Raw genomic sequence first — 12,858 nt, 5'->3', positions numbered from 1 at the left:
ACATGGTGAAACCCAGTCTCTGCTAAAAATACAAAAATTAGCCGGGCCTGGTGGTGCATGCCTATAATCCCAGCTACTCAGGAGGCTGAGACAGGAGAATCGCTTGAACCCAGGAGGCGGAGGTTGGAGGAGCCAAGATTGCGCCAGTGCACTCCAGCCTGGGCAACAGAGTGAGACTCTGTCTCAAAAAAAAAGAAAAAGAAAAAAGAAATATTGTTATATGACTAAATCTATGAAATTACTTCTTTACTCTTTTTTGTTTTTGAGATGGAGTCTTGCTCTGTCGCTCAGGGTGGAGTGCAGTGGTGCGATCTTGGCTCACTGCAACTTCGGCCTCCGGGGTTCAAGCAATTCTGTCTTAGCCTCCTGAGTAGCTGAGACTATAGGCACACAACACCGCACCTGGCTAATTTTTATATTTTTAGTAGAGATGGGGTTTCACCATATTGGTCAGATTGGTCTCGAACTCCTGACCTCAGGTGATCCACCCACCTTGGCCTCCCACAGTGCTGGGATTACAGGCATGAGTCACTGTGCCCAGGCCTTACTTTTTTGACACAGTGTCTAGCTCTTGTCATCCAGGCTGGTGTGATCTCGGCTCACTGCAGCCTCTATCTTCTGGGCCCAAGCGATCCTCCCACCTCAGTCTCCCAAGTAGCTAGGAATACAGGCACGCGCTATCATGACCAGACTAAATTTTTTGTAGAGACAAGGTCTCACTATGTAGGCCAGGCTGATCTTGAACTCCTGGACTCAAGGGATCCTCCCACTTTAGCCTCTCAAAGTGCTGGGATCACAAGCATGAGCCACCACACCCAGTTATTTCCTTTCTTCCTCCTTCCCTCCTTTCCTTCCTTCCTTCATTTTATTTCCATAGGTATGTGGGGGAACAGGTATTTGGTTACACAAGTTCTTTAGTGGTGATGTGTGAAATTTTGGTGCACCCATCACCCGATATTTCTCTACTATTAACAAGATCGTAGTATGCAAAAAAAAATGAAGTTGAGCCTTATCTTTCCTCATCTATAAAAATCAACTCAAAATAAGGCAGGCCGCAGTGGCTCATGCCTGTAATCCCAGCACTTTGGGAGGCCGAGGCAGGCAGATCACCGAAAGTTGGGTGTTCGAGACCAGCATGACCAACATGGGGAAATCCTGTCTCTACTAAAAATACAAAATTAGCCAGGTGTGGTGGCACATTCCTATAATCCTAGCTACTTGGGAGGCTTGAGGCAGGAGAATCACTTGAACCCAAGAGGTGGAGGTTGAGGTGAGCCGAGATCATGCCACTGCACTCTGGCCTGGGCAATAAGAGCAAAACTCAGTCTCAAAAAAAAAAAAAAAAAAAAATTAACTCAACATGGATCAAAGACCTAAATGTAAGTGCTAAAACTTAGAATTCTTATAGGAAGACATGGTAAATCCTCATGATCTTGGATTTAGTGAAGAAGTCTTAGAAATGGCATGAAAAGCACAAGCAACAACAAAAATAAGAATTAACTTTCATCAAAATGAAAAACGTTTATGCTTCAAAGGGCACCTTCAAAAAAGTGAAAAGACAACCCTCAGAATGTGAGAAAATAACTACAAGTCATATATCTGATAGTTGTATCTAGGACATATAAAGAACTCTTGGCCGGATGCGTTGGCTCATGCCTGTAATCCCAGCACTTTGGGAGGCCGAGGCAGGTGGATCACCTGAGGTCAGGAGTTCGAGACGAGCCTGGCCAAGATGGTGAAACCCCATCTCTACTAAAAATACAAAAATTAGCTGGGTGTGGTTATGCATGTCTGTAATCCCAGCTACTCGGGAGGCTGAGACAGGAGAATTGCTTGAACCCGGAGGTGGGTGAGCAAAGACTGTGCCACTGCACTCCAGCCTGGGCGGCAGAGCAAGACTCCCTCTCAAAAAACAAAAACAAAAAAACCACAAAAACAAAAACAGGCCGGGCATGGTGGCTCACACCTGTAATCCCAGCACTTCGGAAGGCAGAGGTGGGCAGGTCACTTGAGGTCACGTGTTTTTGAGATCAGCCTGGCCAAAATGGTGAAACACCGTCTCTACAAAAAATACAAAAATTAGTCGGGTGTGGTGGGCAGCTGTAATCCCAGCTACTCGGGAGGCTGAGGCAGGAGAATAATTTGAACCCGGAAGGCAGGGGTTGCAGTGAGCCAAGACTGCGCTACTGCACTCCAGCCTGGGCCACAGAGTGAGACTCCATCTCTAAATAAATAAATATCAAAAAACATATCAGAAGAAAAATACATTATTCTATTGCGATCAATCATTGTTATTTCAAAAACCTATCGTCTCCCAAATGTATGCAGCAAACATTCACATCTAAATCAAAGAATATAGCCAAAATATCAATCCTGCCCAAGAAACTGTGTTCTAAGATTCCTTTGGGTATTAGGCCTTTTAACAAAAAAAAATTTTCTAAAGAGAAATAATTCAGTTAAAATTTGTGGTACAAAAAACTGTGACATAGTAACAACATTCACACACGTAAAAATCATGTTATAGCATACAAACATTCGAACACACTTGTCTTAAAACCTTAGAGCAGCTCTGTTCAAGAGAAATATAATTAGAGCCATAGCCAACTGCAGTGGCTCACACCTGTAATTTCGATGCTTTGGGGGGCCAAGGTGGGAAGACTGCTTCAGCCTAGGAGTTTCACTTCAGCCCAGGAGTGTTAGGACTAGATTGGTTAACACAGTGGGACCCTGGCTCTACAAAAAATAAAAAAGTAGCTGGGCATGGCGGTACATGCCTGCAGTCTTTTTTTTTGGAGGTGGGGGGAGCGTTGGGACGGAGTCTTGCTCTGTCGCTGGGCTGGAGTGCAGTGGCACAATCTCGGTTCACTGCAACCCCTGCCTCCTGCACTCAAGCAATTCTCCCGCCTCAGCCTCCCGAGGAGCTGGGACTACATGGGCGCGCCACTACGCCCAGCTAATTTTTGTATTTTTAGTAGAGACGGGGTTTCACCATGTTGGCCAGGATGGTCTCCATCTCTTGACCTCGTGATCTGCCCGTCTCGGCCTCCCAAAGTGCTGGGATTACAGGCGTGAGCCACCGAGCCCAGCCCATGCCTGTGGTCTTAGTTATCCAGGAGGCTGACGTGGGAGAATTGCTTGAGGCCAGAAGTTTGTGTGTGGTGTAGTGAAAGTTTGTGGTACAGATTTTTTTGTAAAAGACAAAAAAAAAAGGAAGAAATATAATTGAAGCCATAAATGTAATTTAAATTTTTCTAACAGACACGTTTAAAAAATAACATTAAAAGAAACACGTAAAATTATTTTTATTTTATTTATTTATTTATTTATTTATTGAGACGGAGTTTCACTCTTGTTGCCCAGGCTGGAGTGCAATGGCACCATCTGGGCTCACTGCAACCTCCACCTCCACCTCCTGGGTTCAAGCGATTCTCCTGCTTCAGCCTCCTAATAGCTGGGATTACAGGCATGCGCCAGTACACCCGCTTAATTTTTTTGCATTTTTAGTAGAGACAGAGTTTCACCATGGTGGCCAGGCTGATCTCGAACTCTTGACCTCAGGTGATCCACCTGCCTTGGCCTCCCAAAGTGCTGGGATTACAGGTGTGAGCCACCTGCCAAGCCTATTATATTGATTTTTTTGAGACAGAGTCTTGCTCTGTCGCCCAGGCTAGAGTGCAGTGGCACAATCTCGGCTCACCACAACCTCCGCCTCCCGGGTTCAAGTGATTCTCCTGCCTCAGCCCCCCGTGTAGCTGGGATTACAGGTGCCTGCCACCACACCTATATTTACAGCTATATTCATCTATATTTACAGCTGCTCCCATGACTTGCATTACTGCCTGAGCTCTGCCTCCTGTCAGATCAGCAGCAGCATTAGATTCTCATAGGAGTGCATATCTTTTTTTTTTTTTTTTTTTTTGAGACGGAGTCTCGCTCTGTCGCCCAGGCTGGAGTGCAGTGGTGCAATCTTGGCTCACTGCAAGCTCCGCCTCCTGGGTACACACCATTCTCCTGCCTCAGCCTCCCGAGTAGCTGGGACTACAGGCGCCTGCCACCACGCCTGGCTAATTTTTTTGTATTTTTAGTAGAGACGGGGTTTCACCATGTTAGCCAGGATGGTCTCAATCTCCTGACCTCATGATCTGCCCACCTCGGCCTCCCAAAGTGCTGGGATTACAGGCGAGAGCCACTGCACCCGGCAGGAGTGCATATCTTATCGTGAACTGCGCCTGCAAGGAATTTAGGTTGTGTGCTCCGTATGAGAATCTAATGCCTGATGATCTGTCACTGTCTCCCATCACCCCCACATGGGACCATCTAGTTGTAGGAAAACAAGCTCAGGGCTCCCACTGATTCTACATTATGGTGAGTTGTATAACTATTTCATTATATATTACAATGTAATAATAATAGAAATACAGTGCACAATAAATGTAATGTTTTTGAATCATCCTGAAACCACCTCCCCTGCAACCCTGTCCACAGAAAAATAGTCTACCATGATCCTGGTCCCTGGTGCCAAAAAGGCTGGGGTCTGCTGCTTAAATTGATGCGTTTATATTTCTTTCCAGTCAATTCCCGCAACCACTGTTCTGATTTCTAGCAACATAAATTAGTTTTGTCTATTCATAAAGTTTTGTTTGTCATATAAATGGTATAAATGGAATCACACAGTAGATACCTTATGCGAAGGAAAAGAAAAAACAGGAAAATGTTTTGAGATTCATCCATGTTAACTTGTGCATTAGTAATTGGTTTTGGTTTGAGACAGGGTCTCACTTTGTCACCCAGGTTGGAGTGCATTGGTGCAACCTCAGCTCACTGCAGCCTCAAACCTACAGGGCTCAGGTGATCCTCCCACCTCAGCCTCCCGAGCAGCTGGAGCTACAGGTGTGCAGCACCATGCCTGGCCAATTTTTTGTACAGACAGGGTTTCACCATGTTGCCCACACTCGTCTCAAATTCCTGGACTCAAGCAATTTGCCTGCCTGGACCTCCCAAAGCGTCGGGATTACAGGCATGAGCCACTGTGCCCGACCTCACTGGTTCTTCCTTATAGCTGACTAGTATTCCAAAATACAAGTGTAATACAACTTAGTTATCCATTCTTCTACTGATGAATACCTGGGCTATGTCTAGGTTTTGTCTACCAGGAGTAAAGCTGCTATAAAATTCTTTTATGGACAAGTTTCTGTTTCTCTTTGGTAAACATCTAGGAACACAATCACCTTAAAATTTCAAAGTCATAGCATTTATTTAATTCCAGGGCACAGAATGTTTATTCAATCCTTAATTGAATAAAACTTATGGCTTCATACAGCATTGAGTGGTTCAGAAACTGAAGCAAATTTCTAAAAGTGTCATTATGTGTACAGTTGGTGCTTGGAATCCACAGGTTCCAAATCTGTAGATTCAACCAACTATAAATAGAAAATATTCTAAAATATAATAATAAAAAAAACTACAATAATTTTTTAAAAATTAAAAACCAATACAGTATGACAACTGTTTATATAGCATATATAGTGCACTAGGTATTATAAGTACTCTAAAGATGACTTAAAGTATATGAGAGAAGGCTGGATGCAGTGGCTCATGCCTGTAATCCCAGCACTTTGGGAGGCCAAGATGGGCGGATCGCTTGAGGCCAGGAGTTCAATACCAGCCTGGCCAACATGGTGAAACCCCGTCTCTACTAATAATACAAAAATTAGCCAGGCATTGTGGCACACGCCTGTAATCCCAGCTACTTGGAAGGCAGAAGCAGGAGAATCACTTGAACCCAGGAGGCGGAGGTTGCAGTGAGCCAAGATTGAGCCACTGCACTCCAGCCCGGGTGACAAGAGCAAAACTATGTCTCAAAAAAATAAATAAAATAAAATAAAAATAAGTAAAGTATATGAGAGGATGTGCACAGGTTATCTGCAATTACTACACCATTTTATGTAAGGAATTTTATATCTGAGGATTGTGGTATCTGTTGGGGGCCCTAGAACCAATCCCTCAAGGATACCAAAGGATGACTATATAACTTTCTTGATCCATTATATTAGTATCTCTAAGTTCATCCAAACCTTAACAGTTAAACTAGTTAGTTGATTTCTGAGACGTTTTCCTAATTTGGGGCCACATTTTAATTTCAATTGTGAGAATATTTTTCTGAAAACTACCTTGATTTAATATACAATCTCACAACTTCTTTAATTATTATCTGCCTTCTAAAAATATACTTGGTAAATTGGTTAGAATGAAATTTTTTGGACTTACCTTAATTTATGTACAAATGAAAAAAACCGAAAATACTCAAGGGGCTATAAACCCGTATCATAAAAAGTGGCCATTGGAAAAGTCATGATAATTTACTGCATATTAGTTATGCTGGAAACAGAAAATGGGGCTTTGCATTGGTGTCTTGGGTATTATTGAACACAAGGGGTCAAATATGATAGTCCATAAAAGCTAAACTATATACTAGTCACATTTTCAATAATCTAAAAGAGTTCAGGTCAGAAATAGATGAAATCTCAAAGAATTTCACAATCTTAAAACACAGTGCTCAGGCTCCTTAGATAGAAGACAGCTGGCTCCTGCCACAGAATTGCCCTTTAACACACCCAACTGCATTGTGAGCTTTATGGCTTTGAAAATTACGACACAATTCTTTTACGACTCCTCCCCTTCACCATTTGTGTCCACATTACCATTGCTACTGTCTGGCATAGCAGTCCTTTTTATAAATCTACCCTAAGGCTCCTTCCATCTTGTACTGTTTCCTTTCTCCCTCCCATCTGCTCCAGAAGAAAAAAATATATATATACTACAGAATCCACCCTTGCCTCACTTTATGATGACGGCATTCCCTATGGAAGCCCTATGCTCCTTTTCACACACAAAAAAAATGGAAGTAATATTATTTTCTTTGAAAATCATCAATCCTCCTACTATGACATATGGAAAGCAAACAGCTGTACCCACGAAAGGTACAAAACTCTGAGAGGAATCCCATCCTGTATGTACACTTCTCTTTAATGACATTCTCAGAAGGTAAAGTTAAATTACACAACTCTGCAGATGTTTAACCACCGTAAGACAATATACTACTTTTTGTGCGTGTGTGTATGTGAGACAGAGTCTCAGTCTGTCTCCCAGGCTGGAGTATAGTGGCACGATCTCGGCTCACTGCAACCTCTGCCTTCTGGGTTCAAGCAATTCTCCTGCCTCAGCCTCCCGTGTAGCTGGGACTGCAGGTGTGTGCCACCATGCCCAGCTAATTTTTTTTTGTATTTTTAGTAGAGACAGGTTTTCACCATGGTGGCCAGGCTGATCTCGAACTCTTGACCTCAGGCGATTTGCCTGCCTTGGCCTCCCAAAGTGCTGGGATTACAGGCGTGAGCCACCACACCTGGCAGAAACAATATACTTCTTAAATTGCACACAAAAATAGAGCAATCCTAAGATTAGTACTCATTAAGCTGGGTGGGTGGCTCATGCCTGTAATGCCAGCACTTTGGGAAGCTAAGGCGGATGGATCACCTGCGGTCAGGAGTTCGAGACTAGCCTGACCAACATGGTGAAACCCCACCTCTACTAAAAATATAAAAAATTAGCTGGGCATGGTGGCGTATGCCTGTAATTCCAGCTACTTGGGAGGCTGAGGCAGGAGAACTGCTTGAACTCAGGAGGCGGATGTTGCAGTGAGCCAAGACACACCATTGCACTCCAGCCTGGGGAACAAGGGCAAAAATCTATCTCAAAAAAAAAAAAAAAAAAAGATTAGTATTCATTCAAGTAAACTTGTAAAACTTAAATCAAGTTTGAAAAACTGTTTCAAATGTCTTCTTCATTAAGGATTCCCTTTAAATGTGTATAACCATATTCACTGCAGCATTATTTGTAACAGCAAAAGCTGAAAACATTATAAACAGCTCAATAAAAAGCAATGTTAGATAAATTAGATCATATCCACAAAATGCAACTCTAGGCACCCATGAGAAAGAGTGAAACAAAGGTTTGTGCTGATATGGGAACAAAGTAAGGTACAGAGCAGTTTACAGACTACAAAATTACTGGTAAAGGACAGATGCGGTGGCTCACGCCTATGATCTCAGCACTGTGGGAGGCTGAGGCGGGCAGATCACTTGAGCTCAGGAGTTTGAGACCGGCCTGACCAACATGGTGACACCCCATCTCTACCAAAAATACAAAAATTAGCCGGGTGTGGTGGCACATGCCTGTAATCTCAGCTACTCAGGAGGCTGAGGCATGAGAGTCGCTTGCACCTGGGAGGCGGAGGTTGCAGTGAGCTGAGTTCCTTCCATTGCACTCCAGCCTGGGCAACACAGCAAGACTGTCTCAGAACAACGGCAACAATGACAACACACCAAAACAAAACAAAAAGCTATACCACATGAAAAGAAGTTCATTAGAGAAATGCAAATAAAAATCACAATGAGATAGCACTACACATCTTACTTCCCTATTAGAATGAGTAAAGTAAAAAGTGCCTATAACAGGCCAGGTGCTGGGATGCCTGTAATCCCAGCACTTTGGGAGGCCGGGGTCGGTGGATCACGAGGTCAAGAGACTATCCTGGCCAACATGGTGAAACCCCGTCTCTACTAAAAATACAAAAATTAGCTGGACGTGGTGGTACACATCTGTAGTCCTAGCTACTCGGGAGGCTGAGGCAGGAGAACTGCTTGAACCCAGGAGGCGGAGGTTGCAGTGAGCCGAGGTCATGCCATTGCACTCCAGCCTGGCAAAAAAATAAAATAAAATAAAATAAAAAATAAAATAAAAACCTACAACACACACAAATATCAAAACAAGTATGTGATGAAAAAATAAATTTTTTTAAAAAAGAAAATAAGAAATATTGTGGTAAAGAAACTGGATCACTCATACATCACTGGTGGGAATGTAAAATGGTATAGTCACTCTGTTAAAAGAGTTTGGCAGTTTCTTTTCTTCTGTTTTTTTTTTTTTTTGAGACGGAGTCTCGCTCTGTCGCCCAGGCTGGGGGGCAGTGGCACGATTTCGGCTCACCACAACCTCTGCCTCCTGGGTTCAAACGATTCTCCTGCCTCAGCCTCCAGAGTAGCTGGGACTACAGGTGCACGCCACCATGCCTGGCTAATTTTTTGTATTTTTAGTATAGACAGGGTTTCACTATGTTGGCCAGGCTGGTCTTGAACTCCTGACCTCGTGATCCGCTCGCCTCGGCCGCCCTAAGTGCTGGGATTACAGACGTGAGCCACCACGCCTGGCCTTGGCAGTTTCTTAAAATATTAGACATGTAACTCCCCTACTATGCAGCACTGTTGGACGTTCATCCTGAGAGACAAAGATTTATGTGCACATAAATACCTGTGAATATTTCTAGCAGCTTTATTTGTAACAGCCCCAAACTGGAATGGAATAAAGCTAGATGTCCTACAAAAGGTGAATGATTAAACTGAGGTACAATCATACCATGGAATAATACTCACCAATAAAAAGGAACAACAATTGATTTACTCAGCAAACTTAAATGAATTTTCCAAGAATTATACTGAATGAAAAAAATCAATCCCAAAAGGTTACATGCTGTATGATTCCATTTATATAACATTTTTGAAAGACAAAATTATAGAAATTAAAAAGAGATTAGTCGTAACCAAGGGTTAAATAAGGGGCAGGAGCAGGAGTGGAAGTGGGTATGGCTATAAGAGGGCAATATGAGGGATCTTTCGTAGTAATAAAAATGTTCTGGGTTAGGCACGGTGGCTCACAACTATAATCCCAGTGCTTTGGGAGGCCAAGGTGGGAGGATTGCTTGAGGCCAGAAGTTTGAGATCAGCTTGGGCAGGACATCAAGACCCCACACCTACACAAATTTTTTTTTTTTTTTTTTTTAAGACGGAGTCTCGCTCTGTCGTCCAGGCTGGAGTGCAGTGGTGCGATCTCGGCTTATTGCAAGCTCCGTCTCCCAGGTTCACGCCATTCTCCTGGCTCAGCCTCCCGCGTAGCTGGGACTACAGGCGCCCGCCACCACGCCCGGCTAATTTTTTGTATTTTTAATAGAGACAGGGTTTCACCGTGTTAGCTAGGATGGTCTCGATCTCCTGACCTTGTGATCCACCCGCCTCGGCCTCCCAAAGTGCTGGGATTGCAGGCATGAGCCACCGCGCCCAGCCACAAAATTTTAAAAAAATTTTAAGAAATTGAATGTAATGAAAATATTGTAAAACAAAAAAAGTTCTGTATCTTTACTGTATCAATGTCAATATCTTGACTGTGATATTGTACTAAAGTTCTTTTTTTGTTTTGAGACAGAGTCTGTTGTCTAGGCAATAGCACGATCTTGGCTCACTGCAACCTCCCTCCGCCTCCCCGGTTGAAGCGATTCCCCTGCTTCAGCCTCTCGAATAGCTGGGACTACAGGCACACGCCACCACACTCAGCTAATTTTTGTATTTTTAGTAGAGATGGGGTTTCACCATATTGGTCAGGCTAGTCTTGAACTCCTGACCTCGTGATCCGCCCACCTCGGCCTCCCAAAGGGCTGGGATTACAGGCATGAGCCACCGCACCCAGCATGTACTAAAGTTCTGTAAGAAGTTGCCTTTGAGAAAACTGGGTAGAGGGTAGATGAGGTCTCTGTATTATTTTTTATTTTTAGAGACAGAGCCTCGATCTGTCATCCTTGCTGGAGTTTGATGGTACAATCACAGCTTACTGCAGCCATGACCTCCAGGGCTTAAAGTGATCCTCCCACCTCAGCCTGCCAGCTACCTGGAACCACAGGCATGCAACATCACGCCCAGATAATTTTTTTTCTTTTTTTCTTTCGAGACGGAGTTTCACTCTTGTTGCCCAGGCTGGAGTGCAACGGCGCGGTCTTGGCTTACTGCAACTTCTGCCTCCTGGGCTCAAGTGATTCTCCAGCCTCAGCCTCCCAAGTAGCTGGAATTACAGGCACCCGCCACCACACCTGGCCAACTTTTGTATTTTTAGGAGAGATGGGGTTTCACCATGTTGGCTAGGCTGATCTCGAACTCCTGACCTCAGCTGATCTGCCTGCCTCTGCAGCCCACCAATGTGCTGGGATCACAGGCATGAGCCACTGCACCTGGCCTAATTTTTTGATTTTTTTAGAGACAGGGTCTCACCATGTTGCCCAGGTATCTGTATTACTTTTTAGACTATTATGTGAATCTACAATCGTCTCTAAATGAAGTTTAATTTTGAAAAAAAAGACACTATGGAGTGAAATAAACAAATAAAACATAACTGTTTGTGGAAGGAAGTCACAGCAGGCTTAAAGGGAACTGTGTAGAAAAGGACCTTTATCTAAAAATCAGTGACCAGCATAAGAAGTTAAAAAAAGAGCAAAATAAACCAGAGTTAGTAGAAGAATAAAATAAAGAGCAGAAACGAAATAGAAAACAGAAAATGAAGTAGAAGTCTATTCTCTGAAAACATCAATCCAATATGTAAATTGCTAGCAGGATTGCTTAGGGAAGAAAGGAGAGAAAGCAAGAGATCCCACAAATATCACAAATGAAAACTGGCCGGGCGCAGTGGCTCATGCCTGTAATCCCAAAACTTTGGGAGGCTGAGGCGGGTGGATCACCTGAGGTCAGGAGTTCGAGACCAGCCTGGCTAACATGGTAAAACCCCGTCTCTACTAAAAACACAAAAATTTAGCCAGGCGTGCTAGCAGGCACCTGTAATCCCAGCTTCTTAGGAAGCTGAGGCAGGAGAATCGCCTGAAACTGGTAGGCAGAGGTTGCAGTGAGCCGAGATCATACCACTGCACTCCACCCTGGGACAGAGAGTAAAACTCCAACTCAAAAAAAAAAAAAAGAAAGAAAATAGAGGTATAACTGCAGATTCTACAGACATTAAAAAGGTAAAAAAAATATTATGAACAATGTTATGCCAATAAATTTGACAACTTAGAAAATTCCTTGAAAAATAAAACTTAACCAAACTGAGATAAGATGAAATACAGGCCGGATGCTGTGGCTCACGCCTGTAAACCCAGCACTTTGGGAGGCCGAGGTGGGTGGATCACGACGTCAGGAGATCGAGACCATCCTGGCTAACACGGTGAAACCCTGTCTCTACTAAAAATACAAAAAATTAGCCCTGTGTGGTGGCAGGCGCCTGTAGTCCCAGCTACTCGGGAGGTTGAGGCAGGAGAATGGTGTGAACCCAGGAGGCGGAGCTTGCAGTGAGCCGAGATCGCGCCACTGCACTCCAGCCTGGGAGACAGAGCGAGAATCCATCTCAAAAAAAAAAAAAAAGAAATATAAAATCTGAAAAAAGTGTTGTTGAACAAGTTGAATTCATTATCAAAAATCTTCCTGCAAAGAAAATCCTAGGCTAGATGGTTTCACTGGTGCATTCTATCAAATACTTAAGGAAGAAGTAATACCTGTCCTTTTTATTAGTTCAGGGCTACATGTGCAGGTTTGTTATATGGTAAACTTGTGTCATGGGGGTTTGTTGTACAGATTATTTTGTCACCCAGGTACTAAGCCTAGTACCCAATAGTTATTTTTTCTGATCCTCTACCACCCTCCACCCTCCAGGAGGCCTTAGCGCCCGTTGTTCCCCTCTTTGTGTCCATGAGTAATACCTATCTTACACAGACTCTTGCAGAAAACAGAGGAAGATGAAGCACTTCTCAACTCATTTATATGGTCAGCATAATCCTGAAACCAAATCTGACAAAATCATTTCTAGGAAAGAAAAGTATGGACCAATCTTCCTCACGGATATAGAAGCACTTATTCCCAACAAAGTATTAACAAATCAAATCTAAAAATTTATACAAAAGAAAATACATTCTGACCAAGTAGGGTTTATCAC

General features: G+C 43.4%; 1 protein-coding gene across 15 annotated transcripts in view; it reads right to left on the bottom strand.

The window, feature by feature from the left end:
• The window catches only part of CNOT10 (CCR4-NOT transcription complex subunit 10), an 88,688-nt gene that overhangs the window by 23,120 nt on the left and 52,710 nt on the right, over positions 1-12,858 (bottom strand). The gene's annotated exons all lie outside the window — the stretch shown is intronic.

This window comes from Homo sapiens, chromosome 3, assembly GCF_000001405.40.
Source record: "Homo sapiens chromosome 3, GRCh38.p14 Primary Assembly".
NCBI lineage: Eukaryota > Metazoa > Chordata > Mammalia > Primates > Hominidae > Homo > Homo sapiens.
This window is presented reverse-complemented; position numbering and strand designations above follow the sequence as displayed.